Genomic DNA, 23,133 nt, shown 5'->3' on the forward strand with positions numbered 1-23,133 from the left:
TCCATGTTTCTCTGCTACTTTGCTTCATTTTTATAATGAACTTTGGCTTTGTTTTTCTGATTATCTCTCTCTTTGTACAGCTTGGAAAATTGCCTTAAACCCCTTTCCATTTGGTTAGGGCCTTGACATGAGAATTTATTTAGTCTGTTTTTTCTCTGAGAACTTATTTGCCAATGTTTTCCTTCCTCCTTCTTATACAGACAGCTTACTGGGTCTCAACTGCAGTTGTTTCCTGGAACCACATCAATACCACCCAACTTGGTGTACATTCCCAAAACTTAAACACATTTCCGATTCTGACTCCTTCAACTAGATCTCTTAAAATGGTTTTCCACTTGGATATTAAAAGCTTAATTTGCCACAAAAAAAAATGTTGAAAACAATATACCAGACTACTGATACTTTCATGGGACCAACTGTATTAAAAAATTCATTTCTTTTTATAGTCTTGGAAATTCCTATGTGGTATCTATACCAGTTTTCAATGAACTTCTTCATTGAAAAACCTCAATAAAGGTTTTCAAAAACTGTGAAAGAGAACCAGAGTGTTGAAAAAGGAACAAAAGTAGAAAGAGGTGGAAATGCTAGAATGGATTCATACAAGACCAGGTGACCTTAAATCGCCTGGTTATGTTCTTAGAGTTTCCTAAGAACAGGACTAAGTTAGTAGGGAATCCACTGATAAGGGGGACTCCAACATTTCTTAGAATTTCAATGGTAATCATTCTCTGCATGGTGGAGTTTTCAGTGGGAGGATAATGCCATGGACCACCTAATAATCAATAGACATGGTGGGACTATGGCATAGCCAAAACCAGATGGCAAAACTTACCCTTCAGAATCAACGAGGAAAGCATTACTATTAATGGGCAACAATTCCTGAGAGGCCATCAAGATAACTTGATCCACAAGGCTTTGTGATAATGACTAAATAGATCATGGTTTTCCTAGAAAAGAGATGGATAGCCAACTATGGTGTGACTTGATTTGTATCAATAAAAGCTCAAGAACTGGGGAGCATACATTTTTTAAGAGGGCAGACTTCATGTCAGATATCCTTACCATACACACCCCCGCCCCCACACACAAAAGACACAAGAAAACTTTGGGAGAGAATAGACATGTTGATTATCTGGATTGTGGTGGTGGTAACACAAGTGTACAGATATGTCCAAACCCACCAAATTGTGGGTTTGGACATATCTGTACACTTATATTAATTATATACAGTTTTTTGCATACCAATTGTACCTTTCATTAAAGCCGGGAAACATGGAAAAAAGGGAAAAGTATGGTTCTTCCCTCAGTTTCTAGTTCACAAATCCATAGGTCATTTCCACAGGTAGAGATCAGGTCCCCTTGAGGAAGAGCCCTGTAATGCCAAAGGACATGCATGGATTTACCAGCATAATTTTAAAAAATGTCAAGACTTTGTAAGAAATGTTTGATAAGTTGTCTTTTCTGACACTGACACCACACAACAAAAAATGCCATCATGGTTTTCCAGATAGAGTTGGAGTTACTAAGGCCATATGCTAAAAATTTTACTTTTTTTTTTTTTTTAGAGTTGAAGAGAAGGGGCCACCAACACAACCGTGGTTATTTCTTCTGAGTCAAAATTTAATAACTTGGGATTGATATATTAATAAATTCTCAAACCTTTGGTCACTAATTTATAGGTTACAGCATATTAGGGTCAGAAAGACCACATAAAAACAGACACTTCTCCCCACTTTGCCAACATAGTAATTTAGAAGCAATAACACATTGCATGATGATGTACAGTGATTAGTGATGCTAATAAAGACTTGGAGGTTGCCAGTGTAGCTGTCCTCTCTATACCTCATATTCAATTGTCTGTCTGCCCTCTGCAGATAACAAATGGGTGGTGGTGGACAACTCTGAACTTAACCAAAGGGCAGCCCCAATTGCAACTGCTACTGCAGATATGGTATCTTTTACTGAGGACAGAACAACATGGTATTGAGTGGTGAATTATTACATCTTGATATTCCATCAGTAGAGAGAATTGAAAGCAATTAAATGTTACCTGACAAAGGCAGTAGTACACACTAATAGTCTTGCCTGAGAGCTATGTTAATTTTCTTATTCTCTTTACAATTTATTCTGCAGGGACTTTGGTAATGTTGACATTTCATTAGACATTCCACTGGCGCAATGTACTAATTACATCATGCTAATTGGATCCAGTGAGTATGGAGTATCAAATATCCTAAACAATATAGAAAGAAAATGTGTGCCAGAGGTGGACAGATAAAATTAGCAGAGATTAAATGGTTATTCGAAATCTTGAAATCTTTAAAATTCAAATAGTCTGTAATATGGTGGGATATGCTTTCTATGATAAAGGATGAGTTTTTGCACCTTTCACATCCTATATTCATGAAAGAGGATCAGTGTTTGGTGAAGGTCTTTGGATTTTACAGACATTGTATATCACATTTAGGAGTGTAGCTAAGCCCCATTTACTGGGTGCCTCTGAAGGTGTTTGCTTTGAGACAGAGTCAGAAGCTCTGTAGTCACTCAAAGATGTGTGAAAAAGCACTTAGTCCACATTACTCAGCATATTTGATGGTGCTTTAAGTATGTATAGTGTATAAAGATGGTACAAAGAGTCACTGGAAAGGCCTGATTGGAGAGACGCAGCTTGGAATTCTACAATTCTAGAACATTTTAGAGCCAAGAATTTTTCTCTCTGGCACACGTCTCCTCATGTTTTCATAAACTTGCCCTAGTGAAGACAAGTGATTGAAAAGTGAACTGCATAGCGTATCTATCCGTTTGTAAAATTGTGCATCGTCAGCTACAAATTGTGTGATAGAAACTGTGCGCTAGAGTCCAGCTTTAAACAGATTCAGAATTATATCTAAAACTAAGACAATTCACTTGGGTATTTCTTCCTATTTCTGTTCTCAGGTATTAAAAGAACGAAACAAACAAAAAATAATTTTAGCAACTATTTTCAGCAACTAAAGCCTCAGATTATATAGAGATAGAGTCCTGGGAATATTCCATTCTCTGGCTGGACAGTACTGGTGGGGGGGGTAGATTTGACAATGAGAGACCAAAAAATGCGAGGTGCAAACAAATACATTGTTTACCCTTCCTCACCCATATGGACCATACCAAGATCCATTTGTTTTAAATGGTCTTTGAGGATATATCCAGCATGGCCAAGCAGTCCTGTATGTGTGTTGCAGAACTATGACCAAGTTTACTGAAACACTTTTCATTTTGTCTTATTCTTGTCTTTCTGAGACCACCACATCTTAATAAAATATTAGCACATAAGTTTTGACCTCGGCTCTGTTATTAAGAAAACTAGGTTAAGAGGGCTGCTCCTACTTTTTACTGAATTATAACTTTTCCTGAATTATCACATCCTTGAGATTAAGTTCATATCTTTATTTTATTATAAATTTTTGCAATCAGATATATGTGCATATATATGCATAACAGTTATATGCCAATGATAGAATTATAACATAATATTACTTCAGTGCCCAGTGCATTTTTCTTCTCTAAACTCATTCAATCACCATTAGGCTTTATTACTAGCCCAACATAAAACTATCAGGATTAACAAACAACACCATCAAAAAGTGGGCAAAGGATATGAACAGACACTTCTCAAAAGAAGACATTTATGCGGCCAACAAACATAAGAAAAAAAGTTCATCATCCTTGGTCATTAGAGAAATGAAAATCAAAACCACTATGAGAAAAAAATGCATCTTTTATTTTACTTTATGATTTTATTTTAAGAATTGCATTGGTCCTTTTTACGATATATGGCTTTTCTGATAAGTATTTCAAATCTAAAGCAGTTTTTCGCTAATACATCATTAAAAAGCAAAAATCTTACTATGCAGGCTGCCCAGCAGCAGGTCAGCTAAATGCTAGGTCTCAAATAGTAGATGGAAAACAAAAGGGCTTTGAAATACAAGGAGTTGAGATTTGGCAGGTGCTGACGAATCTGAACACCGGGATTCCAGGCCCATCCTTCCCTGCATGAGGAACAAGTCTTTCCTTCAATAAAGATCATGCCATGATTTTATCACAGTCAGTTTATTTGCAAGGAGAACTCTGTGTTCTTTAAGAACAATCACTAGGTCCAGAAAATTTAACAAAAGTTAAACTCCAACATGGTCCAGAGGAAAAAAAAAATGAATTTGGCTCCCAAAGAACATACATACACACCAAAGGAACAGTGAAATCGTTCCATGTTTATCAGCTAAGTTGGGGGAGTATTAGTGGAAAAGGATCCCAAAAGGGTTACAGGAATAAGGCTAATATAGAGTTAAACAGGGTGGTATCTATCGAATTGTGCATTGTAATTTCATATGTTAGCATAAATTCCTGAATCAAACAAATTGATTGATTGACTGATTGAAATCTGTGTTCAATACTAGCCTATGGTCATAAAGTTGAAGGGCTATACCATTCCTGTAATACTGAAGAATGAGTCTGAAAGATTAGATAAATGATGCATTGAAATGCTTCTATTGTATGCAACATGATCAGCCACTGGAACCGTACTACTTTGGGTATGTAGGGGATATATAATTTCAAAGAAATCAGTACCTAAATATAGAAAATTATAAGAACCATGAACAAAATATAATTAAGCAAAATAAAAAGACTATTTCTACCTGTGTTCTTATGTTCCATGTGTTGTACATTTCCTCACATCTTCGCAGCTATGCACTTCCTTTATCTATTATTATTTGGCTATTTCAGCCTCTTTCTTCCCCCAGTTTTCTTTCCCTCATACGATGAGTTCTGGAGCTGGCTAATGTTACAATTTATATTTTAGTGGCAGGATGACTTAATTGACATCATCCCACAGTAATATTATGATTTATTAAAATCTTGTCTTCCCTCTACTTAATACAAATTACTCACTTTGAGCAAAGGAAAAAAAATCGAAATGGCAAAAGTCATGACTGTGCCTTTTTTTGTTGTTGTTGTTGCCTTGTTTCACATTCATTCTCTATTCTTTGTGTCCTAATAGAAGGACCTCTACAGACTGCATCACTCAGGCTTCCATATAGATTGGCTTCCAGTTAGGTGAGCTAATTTGGAGCTACAGAGAGATCAGAGGAAAGGAGGAGGAATCGCCCTTATCCACCCTTCTTGCTGCGGGCAGCATTTTAAGATTGTGCCTATATCTACTGATCACTACGGCACCCCTTGGCCAGCCCTTCGTCCACAGCGCTAACTTTCACTGCGCTTCAGTAGCATGATTTCCTCCTGTTATCTTTTCCAGTGTAAGGCCAGGAAAGACATGTTAGACTCTGAATGTCTCAATGCCCTTTGTTATTTCCCTTAACCTGGCCCTTACTTCTGTAAATATTTCATAAAGACTCTTGAAAAATATGAGTAGAACTGTGTTTCCTAATGGGACTCTAACTGATAATATACCTACCATTTTCAGTAAGGTGTTTTTGGAATCATGCAGAAGGATGAGAGGCTGACAAGAACACAGCGATTGCATGGTCTACCCTTTGTAACCTTAACCCTGACCATGCAAGGTTTCTCATACTTTGAGCTCTTCAAAAGCATCTATATAAATCCAAGGCTTCTCCTTATAATTCTTGTTTTCTTTGAACCTGCTGAAGTTTAAATCCCTGCAGCAGTGCCAAGCAGGGGGGCTCCAAACAGACCTCTGCTGCTTTAATAAAAGGAAAAGAAAAAGGGGAGATAAAATAATGAAGTAAAGAGCCATGAGAAGTGACACAATTGTGATATTCTAGTATGTTTGTGGTGTAAAAAATAGTAATATAGAAAAAAGGAGTCACTAAAAACTTAGATTTTGTCATAAAAATGTGACCTTTTTAGATGTTATTTTATTTAAGCTATTATTTGCTTGCAGTATTTAAAGAAACGTTAGATTTATAGGTATATTTTCATTTGTTTTTAAGAATTTACATCTCAAATATAATAATGAGAACAACTCTGTGATTTAAATTTACACAATGCCAAATATAAAATAAAAATGTTCTAATCTCTGTAGGTACTAAAATCACAAGAACTGTAGGAGAATTGTATCATTATATAAAGTAATGGAAATCCTGGTCTTATTATTTTTAAAACTTTGATCTATCCAGCCAAATAGGTTAATAAAATAAGACACTCAGGGTGGATTTCTCTTCCCGTGAAAAGTCTAAAAACAGAATACAGTTGGACAATTCTGAACCATTATAAGATTAAAGAGCTGTCTGCAGCTTAAAGGCAAGTTTTATCCACATAAAGATCTACCAGGGTGGCAATGGATGCCTGGCTTGCCTTGTTAGTGACATTTCTTGAAATAAAGGATTATGATTAGAATGTCTTGGTTAAGTCCTGTTGGGAGAAGTGAATTTTCTGATAGTTTTTCTCACAAAAGCGAAACTAATGATCTCTCATTGAAATTGACCAATATAAAGAGTAAAAACAGAGCCACCCATAGAGTCTGCCTGCAAATGGATACCAGCTTTATGTGTTTGTGATGGACCATGCATTTGATACTGTTAAGACACAATGCTAGAACAAGTCTGTCTAAACCTAGACTGAATAATTTAATTATGCAATCTCATATCCTACCATAAAATTGTAATTTCAACTTCTAGCTTTTTTGTATTTTTCTGTATAATCACAAACTCATGACTTTAATAAACACATTTACTATATTTCTATATTTTTCTTCAGAATCATCACGAAGAAGTCCTATATGATATGAGCTTACTGATAGATCGCTGGTCAACCAATATTGTGATCTAAGGTAAAAAATATTTCCAATAAAATATTTTGTTATATACCTGCTGAATTTGAGTTTTATTTTTTATAAATCTATGCCTGACTCATGCTATGTTTTTAAATGTTATTGATCTATCTATATCCTACTTTATATATATATAAGCGTATATAACTATATATGTAAAATATATATAATATGTATATATCCTACATATCCTACACACACAGATATATATGTGTTTATGTATGTGTGTGTATATATATATGCGTGTGTGTGTGTATATATATATATACACACACACACACATACGCATATATATATATAAACATGCATATAGGCTGCTTAACACAGTGATTGAAATATATTGCTATTATTCAAAATCAGTGTTGAATCCCAAGAATTCTGAGTTTCTCGGAGAAAGGGAAAGAACCAGAAATCTCTTAAATTCTCAAAAGGCTACACACCAAATGTTCCCACTAATCATCTCACAGGATCTTCCCATTCTCTAGATTGCTTTATAGCTCTACTCTTCCTGACATCTTCTACCCCAGCACCTGGTTCCTCAAGTATCTGCTGTGCTGGAGTGCCAGTGCCTGCTGACAAGAGAAACAGAAAGAAGGCAGCGAAAGGATCATTTGTATTTACCTGTCCACTGTGGCATAGCATATCTACCTCTCCATTACTCTGACAGAAAGGTATGTACATTATTCACCCGAGGCAGACAGACAACTTGAAATATTAAAGGTCTGTTGCTTTTTTCTTCTGTACAATACTCCAAACTTGAAAGTTTGGAAAAATTCAGCAGATTGTAAATCAGTTATTTGGAGGACACAGCATCAAGTGAAAAAGTAAATGGACTGAGACATAGTTTTGCACCACAAAATGTCTTTTTATTCCCCATGCCTGGAATGAGATAAAGCTTGGTGACAATAAGTAGATAAAAGTAAAGAGGTTCTTTTTGTTTGTTTGTTACTTTAAGAAAGCAGAGGGAATGAACACAGTGTTTGGTTCCCATTCACTGGGTCCCAAACCTCTGCTTCCACATGCCAGAGGGTCAAGGTTTCTCCCAGGGGTCCAATGCCAAGTCATCCCTATACAATTGGAGAAGAAAGCTCGAGGGGGTGGCGTAGTAAGGCAGAGAGCTGAGACAGGTTTTACCTGTGCAAAGCTGGTTCCCACAGCAATGTCTGTATTAAAAGTGGGCCATGAGGACAAATGAGAGAAAGGCATAGAGGAGTTTCATATGCTTATCACATTCCAGCCATCCTGGACATCTCTAGTTTCATTAATGATAGAGTGCTACTTCCACAGTTTTGGCCTTTGCAATGGCTGTTCCTTGTGCTTGAATGCTTCCCCTGAATTTTAGATGAATAGATATTTATTAGTACTCAGATTTCAGCTTCAGAAAGTATCCTCTTGGCTGGGCATGGTGGCCCATGCCTGTAATCCCAGCACTTTGGGAGGCCGAGGCAGGCGGAACACTTGAGGTCAGGAGTTCGAGTCTAGCCTGGCCAACGTGGTGAAACCTCATCTCTACTAAAGATACAAAAATTAGCCAGGTGTTGTGGTGGGCACCTGTAATCCCAGCTTCTCGGGAGGCTGAGGCAGGAAAATTTCTTGAACCTGGGAGGTGGAGGCTTCAGTGAGACAAGATCATGCCACTGCACACCAGCCTGGGTGACAGAGTGACTCCATTTAAAAAAAAAACTGTTGTCATTGCTTTTGGTGTTTTAGTCATGAAGTATTTGTTCATGCCTATGTCCTGAATGGTATTTATGGTTTTAGGTCTTATGTTTAAGTCTTTAATCCATCTTGAGTGAATTTTTGTATAAGGTGTAAGGAAGGGGTCCAGTTTCAGTTTTCTGCATATGGCTAGCCAGTTTGCCCAACGTCATTTATTAAATAGGGAATCCTTTCCCCATTGCTTGTTTTTGTCAAGTTTGTCAAAGATCAGATAGTTGTAGATGTGTGGTGTTATTTCTTTGGCCTCTGTTCTGTTCCATTGGTTTACATATCTGTTTTGATACCAGTACCAGCTGTTTTGGTTACTGTAGCCTTGTAGTATAGTTTGAAGTCAGGTAGCATGATCCCTTTAGGTTTGTTCTTTTTGCTTAGGATTGTCTTGGCTATATGGGCTCTTTTTTGGTTCCATATACAATTTAAAGTATTTTTTTTCTAATTCTATGAAGAAGGTCAATGGTAGCTTGATTGGGGCAGCATTGAATCTATAAATTACTTTGGGCAGTATGGCCATTTTCACGATATTGATTCTTCCTATCCATGAGCATGGAATGTTTTTCGATTTGTTTGTGTCCTCTCTTATTTCCTTGAACAGTGGTTTGTAGTTCTCCTTGAAGAGGTCCTTCACAAATGGGATCTAATTAAACTAAAGAGCTTCTGCACAGCAAAAGAAACTATCATCAGAGTGAATAGGCAAGCTACAGAATGGGAGAAATTTTTTGCAATCTACCCATCTGACAAAGGGCTAATATCCAGAATCTACAAGGAACTTAAACAAATTTGCAAGAAAAAATAAACAACTCCAATCAAAAAGTGGGCAAAGGATATGAACAGACACTTCTCAAAAGAAGACATTTATGCAGCCAACAAACATGAAAAAAAGCTCATCACTACTGGTCATTAGAGAAATGCAAATCAAAACCGCAATGAGATACCATCTCACACCAGTTAGAATGGCGATCATTAAAAAGTCAGGAAACAACAGACGTTGGAGAGGATGTGGAGAAACAGGAACGCTTTTACACTGTTGCTGGGAGTGTAAAAAGTTCAACCATTGTGAAAGACAGTGTGGCAATTCTTCAAGTATCTAGAACCAGAAATACCATTTGACCCAGCAATCTCATTACCCAAAGGGTGATAAATCATTCTACTATAAAGGCACATGCACACATATCTTTTTTGGAGCACTTTTCACAACAGCAAAAACTTGGAAACAACCCAAATGCCCATCAATGATAGACTGGATAAAGAAAATGTGGCACATATACACCACGGAATACTATGCAGCCATAAAAAAGAATGAGTTCATGTCTTTTGCAGGGACATGGATGAAGCTGGAAACCATCATTCTCAGCAAACTAACAAAGGAACAGAAAACCAAACACTGCACGTTCTCACTCATAAGTAGGAGTTGAACAATGAGAACACATGGACACAGGCTGGGGAACATCACACACCAGGGGCCTGTTGAGGGGTGGGGGGCTAGGGGAGGGATAGCATTAGGAGAAATACCTAATGTAGATTATGGGTTGATGGGTGCAGCAAGCCACCATGGCACGTGTGTACCTGTGTAACAAACCTGCACGTTCTGCACGTGTATCCCAGAAATTAAAGTATAATAAAAAAAGAAGAAAGTATCCTCTTGCAACCCAGTGTAAGTATGTACATTTTGTATACAATATTGTTTCATTATTCAATATAACACTCATCTTAACTCTCTCTCTTTTTTTTTTTTTTTTTTTTTTTTTTTTTCAGACGAAGTCTAGCTCTGTCGCCCAGGCTGGAGTGCAGTGGTGCGATCTCAGCTCACTGCAAGCTATGCCTTCCTGGGTTCACGCCATTCTCCTGCCTCAGCCTCACTAGTAGCTGGTACTACAGGCGCCTGCCACCATGCCCAGCTAATTTTTTGTATTTTTAGTAGAGACCGGGTTTCACCGTGTTAGCCAGGACGGTCTCAATCTCCTGACCTCATGATCTGCCTGCTTCGGCCTCCCAAAGTGCTGGGATTACAGGCGTGAGCCACCGCGCCCGGCCAACTCTCTCTTAACTGAATGCTTAACATGAGCAATACCCTCACTATCTGGTTCATGATTCTATGCCCAGTATTAAAGTGATACCTAATACAGAATATTCACTCTATGAATGTTTTATGAATTGAATGCATAGATGAATGTGCTGCTAAGTATCAGGCAGATACATCTCTGAGAAAAGACTGTGGCCTTGTCAATAGTGAGGTTCTTAAAAGTGGCAACTTAAAAGTGGCAGAGATTGATGCCGCTTTTATATACCTGGTGAACTCTCAGGTGATCAGCAGCACTTTCTAAATCTGCGGGAAGTTAGTAATCCTGTGAAGGCACGCAGTTTCACCCCTTCCTCGTATTCACGTATTGCTTATGATGAAAGGACTGGGGTTGTTATGTCAACATCAGGAACCAGGAGAAAGTAGAGAGGAAATATTGGATTAGCAAGCTGTGTCTCCTCTCATGAGTAATGTGTGGTTATAATTTAAATGAATATGACCTCTGTCTTGTATACTGATATGTAAGATTGTGTGCATTCGTGGTTTAAAATGGGACCTGGAGAAGTTTAAGGGCAAACTAAGAATTTTTTTTTAAATTGTGGTAAGTAAACAGCATGATATCTACCCTCAATAAATTCTAAAGAATATGATACAGTGCTGTTAACTGTAGGCATAATGTTGTACAGTAGATCTACAGAACTTAATGATTCTATATGTGATATTTTATATCAATTGAATAACAATTCTCCATGTCTCTCTACTCACAGGATCTCAAAGAGATGTCTGCATTACCATGTTCATTTCAGTCATTATTCACATGAATCAAGATGTAGAAATAATTTAAATGTCCACCTACAGCTGAACGGATAAAGAAAATGCTGTATATACATACAGTGGAATATTTTTTGGCCTTAAAAAAGGAAATCTTGCTGCTATAGACTGAATGTTTGTGTCATCCCAAAATCCATATGTTTGAACCCTAATCCCTAAGGTGATGGTGTTTGAAGATGGAGGCTTTGGAAGGTGATTAGATGATAAAGATGGTTCTCTTATAAGAGACAGGAAAGAGCTTGCTTCCTTTTCCTCTCTGCCATGTAGAGATACATCAAGATGGTAGACTGGGAAGAGGACCCTCACTAGAAACAAAACCAGCAAATACCTTGATCTTGGACTAGGTAGCCTTCAGAACTCTGAGAAATACATGCTGTTGTTTAAGCCATCCAGTTTATGGTATCTTATTATAGTAGCCCAAACTAACTAAAATAACTGCCGTTTGTTACAACATGAGTAAACCTGAAGGGCATTATGCTAAGCGAAACCAACCAGTCACAGGAGAACAAATATTGCATGAATTCACTTCTATGAGGTATCTAAAATAGTTGAGAGACAGTTTTTTATTTCCACTGTGACTGATTTATCCAAAGTAAATAGCGTTGAAATCATTTTGAAAATGTCTGGATTGGTTTAATTTATAAAGAAATAGTAAGCTAAGTGAAAATTATTGATAGATCACATACTTTTTGTTCAAATAAGACAGTAATATTATTGCACTTCTAATTTGAGAAACAAAACAACTTTCCAAATTTGTTTTTTCTTTTTTTTTTTTACTATGGATCTTAACTATTTGAGGGGGAAAAAGCAGCTTTATTCTTTGCAACAGATGCTTTGTTTTAATTTTAAGGCTGGGATTCTATCTTTAGACTCTGACACACTGGGGCAGGAAACAATTATCTGAAAATTGTTAAGATTACGGGAAAACAAAGTGGGGGTAGGTTGGCTTGAGTCAAATGTTCAAACAGGATTAAATGACTGAGTACACTAATCCTTCTGAATTTAGTAAAAATTTTATTTACCTGACTTCCTATAACTCCTCTTCAATGCCTAAATAATCCATAATTTCTGATCTTGGCTTCTGCATACCTTTCTCGGCTTCTCAGAAATCTTGCATAGGTCCTACTCCTGATCCCACTGCAGGTCCTAGTCATTTTCTTCATCCTGATGACACCTCATTCTGGAGTTCCAAAGGTTGTAAGAGTGTTCTCCTGTGTGGAGTACAAAATGGTAAGGTGGATAAAGGCATGGCTGCTGACAAGTGTGGTTTGAATTATACCCAGTTAACAAGTATTGAAACTGCACTGTATGTCATTCAAATATTTTGAAAAGGGTGTAATAAGTTGAAGGGATGGGTGTGTTTCATCTGTATAAACTTTAAAATTTAAAATTTAAAACACTGAGTAAAAATTTCAAAATAGCCAATTCCAACCTGAAGCATATTTCCTCAGATTATTTATAAAAATATGGCATAGATAGCTCCACGGCTCAAGAGACAGGTAGATAGGTAGGTGGATAGATAGATGATAGATAGATAGATAGATAGATAGATAGATAGATAGATAAGATAGATGAATAGATTAGATAAGGGCCCTGCAAACAAAATCTCTGCAGTCTAATATTTGATGGAAACAGTTGTACACACTTTCTCTACATTGAATGCCAACAGCCTGGCAAACAGCCTATTCATTCAGCTTTCTCAATACAATAATCAAAAAAGGAGGAAATTAGTTTCTGTAACAGAAATTAGCCAGAACAATTATTAAAGTAGATCTCCATAAACCAATACCTACAAGACATGATTACAAGGTAGTGTTAATGTTTATTCTCTACTAGCACATCACTATTATTTATAAGTAAATGGTTTTCAGTACTGTTATTTCTGTTACTTCTTGCTTATTTTTCTTATCAGGTATACGGCTAAATAAAAAATTTAACTCATTATATTTCAAAACATTTTATGCTAGAAAATAATAATTTACTTCCATTTTTATCGCTCTTTGCCTTGTTTATGTATCTTACTAATAGTGACTTTTTTAAAAGGCACACATTTACAGAAGACTTTGAATTTTTTTTGGCCATACCCCAATATTGAATAACACCTAACTTGAAAGTTTTTTAAATTGAAAATTACTATTCATGATAATGTCTCCAACTTTTGAATCAATGGTAGCAATAATAATTTTAGTGACAGAGCAGTGAATCCTTTCTTTTTGTTTGGATTTTAGCACACAACTAGGTCTAAGTAAACTTAGACATTTTAGATTTAAAAAAGTACATATAATTTGAGAAAAAAAAGAACATTCTGTATCAGGAAACATGGATTATGTCTTTCAGTACAACGTAGATTATTAAAAAATTCTGTATGCAAAATTATATGCAGAGGTTTAGTCATTCCTGCTATCACATATGAAGCTGAAGCTTTGGATTCTCCAATAATAAATTTCTACCTTGGAATTAATTTCATATTCTGCATTGGTGATTTTATAAGACAAATTGAATTTGTAAGAATTTAAAAAATAAAATTTGCATGCCAAGATTATTTAATCTAGGAGTTACTGAAGATATATTGAAAGTACATAAATCATTTTGTTGAAACAAAAGAACACCCAAAATAGTATATTTGGAGAAAATTTTAAAGTAAAAGCTCAAGCCATCAGCTAAATGATATAGAGACTGAAACAAAAAAATTTAATTGTCATTCATATAAAACTGATATGGGAATATGTATTGTGTCAATCTTAACAAGTTTATCTCATTTTGTGTTTTTGTCAATATTCAGATATTGACATATTCTGGTTGTAAACAGAGATAAACCTGAAAGATGATGGTGATAGTGAGAAGAAAAGATTGATGTGAGTAAAGCAAAAGCTGGAAAAAATACCAGAAATAGTATTTGAAATGATAAGTGTGGACACATTTGCCAAGGTAGGGTGCAGTCAGTAGAGAATCAGTCTAAAGAGATGTCCTTAGGGGCACTGACTTTGGTTAGGGAAGGGAGTAAGGTAAGGAAGCTCAAAGAGCTGAGAAGTCCTTATGAAGGCACAAGTAAACACATGGTTTTGGTCATGGAGGCCGAAGGAGATAATTTTAATATGCTGAGAAATAGAAATTTAATCGTTTCATATATATGAAAATGAGTCAATTTTAAATTTCCTTTCATTGCTTCCTTAGGTTTAAAGATAAATATAATATGTAATGGAAAAAATTGTTAGCTATGGCAGCTTTACAGGGTGGTAGTTGTTACAAATAAAAGTGTAGGTGTGTGTTTGGATATAAGTGTATGCATATATATATATGTATTTACATGTGTGTGCATGATATATGCATATATATTTCACCCAAGCATCTAGAACATAACTATTGAAGGATGTTACTTTTACAAGGATGATTTGGAAAACATCTAACATTTAATTTTCTAGGATGTTGGGTATTATATGCAACCCAGAATCACAGTGTTTCTCTCTGAGAAAAATGATGCTTTTATTCTGCTGGCCTCACTGACATACATTTGTACAAATCCAATATATCAATAGACAATTGTCAATAGACAATATCCAATATATCAATGTCCAATATGTCAATAGACAGTTATCCAGTGTAGACAATTGTCCAATAGACAATAGACTATATTGGATATATTGGATATTGTCTGTTGGACAATTGTCTATCAATATACTGGATATTGTCTAATAGCATTTTCAAAGAAAAGTATCATATAATTTAAACCAACAGAGGACAATAGACAATAGATAACATCCAATGTCTCAATAGACAATTGTCAATTGGCAATATCCAATATATGAATATCCAATATGTCAATAGACAGTCATAGGTGATACCAACTTCTCACCTAAAATTATCCTCATATATATTGCATCTTATTTCATATGAAAATTAAAATGTATTCATGTCCTCATATATGTGAAACGATTATTTCATATGATTGACCTGGATAAATTATTAAGTGTAAGTCCTTGTCTGTGTTAATCAAGATTATATTTTAAATTTATTCGCGCAAAAAGCAATTTACCAAAATTTCTTTAACTGAAAACATAAACTACATTTTACAAAATAATTTTAATTTTATTTAACATATGTTTGGTAGCATGATAGTAAAATGGGTGTTTTCTATTTTAGCACATGATAGAAAATTCATTTTTTAAACAATTGTGTACTGATTAGGTAAGAAGTCACTTATAATAGCTAATTACTAAAATAAGCACTGTTAAGACAGATTTGTTCTTTGCTTATGACTCAACTTCATCTGAAAATTAGAGGTTATAAATGATTGAGTATCTAAAAGAAGGCATATAAGTTGCAGTTTTAATGGTTTTAACATGTCTCATAAAACACTTTTCAGATTTCATGTAAACATTGCTGACATATTTACATGACTAGTAAAGAGAGTAATATATCATATTGAATTAATCAAGCTAATGTAGACAGCCAACATAATCAATTTTAAATCTGTTTTAGATTCAGTAATTTTCCAATAGCTTAAATAATAATTTTCTTAAGTTATTTTTACTTCATTCTTTATACAACAAAGCCTTGATAGATCCTTAAGATATCATTACTATTTCTAGATCTTTGGCATATAATAGGGATTTAGGGTATTCTTTGTAATATATCTATATTTGCACAGTTTTCTCCATACATTAGAATCCTAGTTTTAATTCCTAAACATGTTACTACATGCTAATTTCTGTCACTATTGTGATAAGCAGGGAGACAATGGAAGACTGTTAAATGTCAATAATTTTTAGCAAGGAAATATCTTTTCAAATAGGTAGGATATGTATCATCTATCAACAGAAAGTATCATATTTAAAGAAAAGTATCATAATTGAAACCCACAAACAAAGGTCAAAAAATTCAGCTAAGGTATTTAGTTTTACATTTGGCAGTTATTTTATAAGATTTTCCCATGATTATGTGTAAAATAATTCCAATATATTAACAAAGAAATCAATAAAAGAGTTACATGAAAACTGTTTTTGGAAAAGAATATATCTAATTGGTAAAAAGCCAAAGTATAAAACTGTATTTGATGATAAACTATCTCCATGTTCCCAATAAAAAAATCATTTTAATGTCTAATTGTTCAAACATTTCACAAATTTTATTAAGAATAATAGAAAAACAAAATTTTTGAATGAGTACCTCACAAATGATTTAATCCTTATATACATCGATAAAACAATGGCAAGAAAACAAGAATCTAAATCAGACATTCCAAGTTGTTTTCCACAAAAATAATCACCAATGTCAGGTATACAGGTAGGCAGCATAGGGCAGAAAGGTGCAAAGCCTTTTCTCACCACCATTAAGGTTCAAAGCCAGCACTCTTATAACAAAAGACGTATTAACAAAAGAAAAGCATATCAAATATATTTAATCAAAATTGTATGTGACATGAAAGATCAGAAATGAAGACTCAAAGACTCCAGGGAAAACTTTATACGTGGGATATAAAAAAGGGTCAGCCATGTAAAAATGGGGTTGCACCAAAGGGTATAATGTAATGATAATACACTGAGGTGAGAAATCCAGCAAGTCCTTTGTACAAAGATTCTTGTTGGTCTGCCTGTGTAGCATTACCTCTTCTCCACTTCCACTCCCCAGAAATGGGCAGTACCTCTCTGGAATTAGACTCTTAAAGGGAGAAGGAAGAGGGTGATCTCTTTACATTTTATGGCTTGCTTTCTGGGAGAGGAGTTCTAGTTTCTATGACCGGCCTTGGGGTATAAGAATTCTGGCTTCTAGGATTCTCTTTAGTGTGAGAAAGAGAGGTGTGAGACAGGAGGATGGGAGGAGGTCAGGAAGACCTTACTTCTAAGGCCCTTCTAATGTTTTTTACTACAAACTACTCAGCATGCCAAGATGCCATGCTGTGGGCTATCATGTTCTGAGCCACAGCAGCAGCAATGATATTTGTTGTTGCTGCTGCTCTGATTGCTACTGTCACTGTTTTCATTGCTTTTTGAAAAATAATTTTGCCATGGAAATCTGTTCATTAGACCTTTAGGAAATTAGTAAAGGACAAAACTAAAATCTTTAGAATCCTGACTATGTGTCAGTCTATTCCATTGTTGGTTTATTTACACATACTTTCATATTAACTTACTAATAATGACACAAAAGTAATGATACAAGAAAAATTTTACCCACTCCTGGTTGCAGAGGTAGATGAAATTTTCTGGGCTCTATTGCTGATACTCTTTATTTTCAAATAACAGTCTTGCTATTGTTATCTGATAATCTTGAATTAATGTTATCAATATTGCTACCACAAATAAAATGTTTACACTCATATTCAATAATCTAATCTTCATTTGTACTTTCTGCTTTTATTCCATTTGTTTCTTCTGTCCTCATCACTTCATTTATTCTACGAGGTTTCCCTTATATAAACACTGAAAATGTATAGACATTGTTAGCCAGCAGAAAGGTCTGCTTGCCAGCACAAACATCAAAGAAGTATTCCCTTTTATTCTCCTTTCTCTAGCACCAACTTCTTCTCAGAAAACAAAACAATTCATTATCTGTGGTACTTCTTGATTTCCCAACCTTTTCTCACTCTAACAAATAGTTGGTAATCAAAATTTAGATGCTATATGCAAACTCTTACTGTACACTTTTATTTTGTAATACATTAGTTCTCACATATGCAAAGCTGCCCCTAGTGGAAATTTTGTGGTAAGAGCTCATACCTGAAACCCCTGTGTTTGGAAACTATTATGGATTAGAGATAAAAAATATTTACCACAGCTGCTAATTCTCTGTGTGCGTGTGTTTTTTGTTTGTTTTGTTTTTCCTTCCCTCCTTCCTTCCTTCCTTCCTTCCTTTTCTTCACTTCCTCCCTCCCTTTCTCCCTTTCTCTCTCTCTTTCTCTTCTCTCCCTCCTTCCCTCCCTCTGTCTCTTCCTCTTTGATCTTTTAAAATATGATAAACTTTGGTTTGCTTTTATTCTGGAGACATCTATTTTCTCTCCTCTGTTTTACATTAACTGAATATATAAAGGAGAACAGGAAGAAATGATTTGAAGACACAATCTACTTTCCATTTCTGAAAATTAGAAATATCAGAGTTTAAATGGAGTTGTCTCCGCTCCCTCAAATTTAAACATTGATAAATATCCTAATCTGAAACTGATATAATTTTATAGAATTTATTTTGTTTTTACTAAAGATCTGCATATTTTTTCCAAGGATATTTTAGAAGGCAACGAATATTAAGTAAGAAAGAAAACTCTTTTCTGCTAACAAATCCATATTTTATGAAATATTTTCACTGCTTTCCAATCTTACAGTAAGCAATGGATTTATGTCCTGGTATACTTTGTGACTAAGATAAGCATGTGAAGCCACATTATTATGTAAACATCTAAAATATTTGCATTTTAGCAATAAATTTGCACTTAAGTCACATGCGAATGTGTACCAAGGAACCAATAACTTTTACTTTTTTTCTTTTGCATCAGGTTACTATCAACAGACATACATGTTTTAGTTAGTCTTCACTTTTATATGCTATATGCAAAAGTATTAACATGTACATCACATAATTGAGATGTTTCCTTTGAAATTTTGAAGGAAACATAGTTTGTATTATTTGTTTTCTAAAAAGCAGAACTCTTCAAACACTTTTAACTAGTGATTTTCATTTTTATTGCTGACAAAGCACAGGTTTATGAGCATTTATTAACATTTTAAAGAAAAGATTAAGTGTTCTGTCTTCTTGAAATATTAATCAAAGTAATTTGGCCCATTTCTATTCATGCAGCTGTAGTACCCTTTTCTTTAAATGAACTTACAGTTATGAAAGAAACTTTATCCTTTTATTTCACAAACAAGACCAACTCCCAACCACTTTGACCCTCAAGAACAGCCCAGTTAGAAACTCAGCTCTACTCTGTAAGTCTCAATGGCTGAGATATTGCCAATATCGCTCATCTCATCCTCCATGCCAACTTAAGCACTAGTCTTAATAAATTATTTCTAGTCCCTGGAACACTATTTTTACCCTATATTTCTTTGAGTTTTGAAAAATTTTTGTCCTCTCTCTGGAAAAGCCAATTGCCAATAAGGAAAATTAGTATTTACTATTCAGTTTTTTCCTTGGACTTCAGGTCCTCTCTGAAATCTTCTGAAGCTTATTCTACAGTCTATGGGTAGACATCTTTTGTTTTACTTTGCACTATTTTATTCTATTATCATGGGATCATGGGATATAACCACACGGATTTTGAACTACCTATTTAAATACTCTATTGTAAATAATGCATGCTTGTGAGGTAGGAGGTGGGACTCAAACTAGATTGAGGACTAGTTAAATCAGGGAAGAGGGGAAAGCACCTCTCTGTAAGATATGCCCGCCAGTTTGTCATGGCAATTTTCCATAGCATGGCAACACTTGGAAGTTACTACCTCTTTCCATACCAATAACTCAACAACCTGGAAGATATCACATTTTTCCTAGAAATTTCTGCATAATCTGCTCATCAATTTGCATGAAATTAAAAATGGTATAAATATGACTACAGAACTGCCTTTGAGCTGCTACTCTGGGCACACTACCTATGGGGTAGCCCTGCTCCACAAGGAGCAGTACCTTCACTGCTGCTGTACACTGCTGCTTCAACAAAAGTTGCTAAGACCAACAGCTTGTCATAGAAATCTTTCCTGAGTGAAGCCAAGAACTATTCTGAGCTAAGCCCCAATTTTTGGGCTCCCATGCCCTGAATCATATATATATATATACATACACACACACACACACACACACACACACACACACACACACAAACATACACACACACACACACATACATATATATTGGCATTATATAGTGCTATTTATGATACATATATTCACATATACACATATATGCAATGCTATTTATGATACATATATATGTTTGTGTGTGTGTGTGTATATATATATATATATGTTTATAATTGCCTTTGCTCTTTTTGAGACATGAGATGAGGTCCTCCAAAGAGTGGGTGTTTAATGTATGCATGTAGAAATATACTAACTATTGAAATGCAAAAAATTCTGCTTTAAAACAGGAAGTATATAAAACTCAGTGGTGCTTTAGGGCATTATTTGATTCCTGTTGAACCAAGTAATCATACATGATGCTCACACATTTTTGTACCACTAAGAAAAATGTATTCTATGTAACTCCACATAATACAATAATTCTCATATTCTTTTATTTGTTGGAGCTACCTCCTCATTTTATTTTGCCTATACCTTCTATTAATAATGTCTCTATCTTCAATATGCCACAGTCATATACCTTTTCCTGACAGTTCTAGTGCTGGCAGATTTTGTCTTTATGCTTTCCCTGCCAATTATCTTTGCAGCAGAACAACTACGATCTCTGTTGAGTTGGTTCTTTGTCAAATAATCTGTACTGCAAGGACTTTAGATACCTATAACTTAAAGATTTCCTCAAATATGTAACAAAAGCCAGAAGTGTGGAGATCTTCAATCCCCTATGCTGGTGAGCTATGTATGGAGAGAGAGAGAACAGGAGATTTCTTTGTTTTTTCTCAAGAGGGATGGCTGCTTATGTTTTCCATTTCTTATCCTGTAGACAATTTTACAATTCAAGAGAATAGTAATTCACATTGCCTTTCTGTTTCTATACATTTGCAGGTGAAGCTATTTCTGTAGCAGAGTTCTCTGAGGGGATCACATTTGCTGCTACCATGAGCCAACATTTTCCAAGTTTTTTCCATAAGACCTTTTTCCAAGGTGTTAAGGTGAGTGATTCCAAATAAGCACTAACAGGAAGAGTTCGTGGATTGTGAGAATATTTTTTTAAAACTAAGCCCAATACAATGTTTTTTGTCTCCTGAGTGAAAGAATATCTAGAAGGAAATAATATAAATTTTATTCAATCCATATAGAAATATAATTAAAATATGTGAAAACAGAATGGCATGTGTTTTTTTTTTGCTTGTTTTTAATCTATCCTTACCATAGTAGAATATTTCACTGTGATTTCTAATTCTGATTCTTAAAACTATCATTCCATAGGTTGTAACTCTGTTGTAACATTACTATCATTCTCCTTACTCACCAAACCCTTTATATTACCTGATTAGCAAGATGAGGCAGGTTAAAATTCCCCAGTGACATATCGTGTATATATCACTATTGATGTAGTGGTTATTGAACTATTATGAAGTATCATGTTATAAATTCTTAAAATCTATCCATCAAAAGAGATCATGATCCTGGATTGATCTGGATTATAGCTACTTCTATTACTCTATGCCAAGAGCACTATTTATATACACGATACGTCACTGAGGAATTTTAACCTGCCTCATCTTGCTAATCAGGTAATATAATCAGGCCAGCTCTATTACTTTAATTCATTTTGCTCTTATCAAAAAATGACAGAACATAGGTTGACCGGGGAGCTTAATCTCCTATATGAGTTTGCTGAATAATACAGACTGCATGGGTTACATTTGGGTTATGTGCTTTCTGATTTCACTGCTATGGTACGATTAATCACTATGTAGCTACATTTTACAACGTTGAAAATAATAAGAAACTGATATATGGATCCTGAAAAGTGGCAGATAGGAGGCAGGACTTACTTGCATCTCCCACTCAGATGGACAGAACTGTGTGTGGAGATTCACATTGTGAGCTTTTGCTCTAAGAGCTACTGCAGGAACATACCAAGAAAACGGAAAGAATGCACAGACCCTTTGAAAGAAGTGGCTTGCTGCTGCAAACTCTGAGAAACAGCAGAAACACGGGGAGTGCCCAAAGCGTGAGGTGGGGAAAGTCTGCCTCCCAACATACATCCTCTCTGGGGAGCCTAAAAATCCAGATCACAGGAGAAGGATTTAACCTTACCTAGAGGTGACATGAATTTAGATAGCTGTGCAAAATATAAAAGTAGAAGAAACAGCAGGACGAGCCCTATAGGCACTCCCAGTCCTCATGGAAGCCCAGGGAACCTGTTTCTGACTTGATCTCGCAGGGGTCCTTGCGGAGGGCTGCCAGTGAAACTGGGGAAAGACCACAGGGAGAAGGAAACTTCCAGAGGAAATTTGTAATAATTTTGACTGAGTGTAAATTTTCCAGGGCAGAATCCGGGAGTGGGGAGTGAACAGGAAGTGCAGATGGGAGCACAGAAGCTGCAGTGGAGAGGGAGGAAGCCTGAGAGCCCTGCTTGCTTTCTCAGCAGGGAGGCTTGTGGCCTGGGGCAAGTTCCCATCCCTGCTCATCATCACCTTCCTGGATATAAACTGGGTGCTGTTGGGGAAGCACAGCAGGAGTGAGACTGGCCTTTCTGGCTGCATGGAAGCTGGGTGAGGCCTGTCACTGCCAGCTTTCCCCCACTTCCCTGATGACCTGTATGATGCAGCAGAGGCAGCCATAATGCCCCTGGGAATATAACTTTATTATCCTGAGAAACACACCCCCATCCTCCACAGTGTCCACAGCACGCTCTGCCCAAGGAAGAGTCTCAGCTCAGACACATCTAGTCTAGTCCTACCCCCAACTCGTGGTCTTTCTCTACCTGCCCTGGTAGCCAAAGAAAAAAGACATAGTCTCTTGGGAGCTCTATAGCCCTGCCCACTGCCTGAGAAACCTGAGGACTTACCCAAGCAACCCTAGTGCAAGCTTGTATCCTCCCTATACTACTGTGGCTGATCCTCTCCTGAAAGCACCAGCACCATCTCCTGGCTAGAGGCCAACCAATACAAACCTTTACAGCAACTAATAAAAGAACAACCCT

This window comes from Homo sapiens, chromosome 13, assembly GCF_000001405.40.
Source record: "Homo sapiens chromosome 13, GRCh38.p14 Primary Assembly".
Classification (NCBI taxonomy): Eukaryota; Metazoa; Chordata; class Mammalia; order Primates; family Hominidae; genus Homo; species Homo sapiens.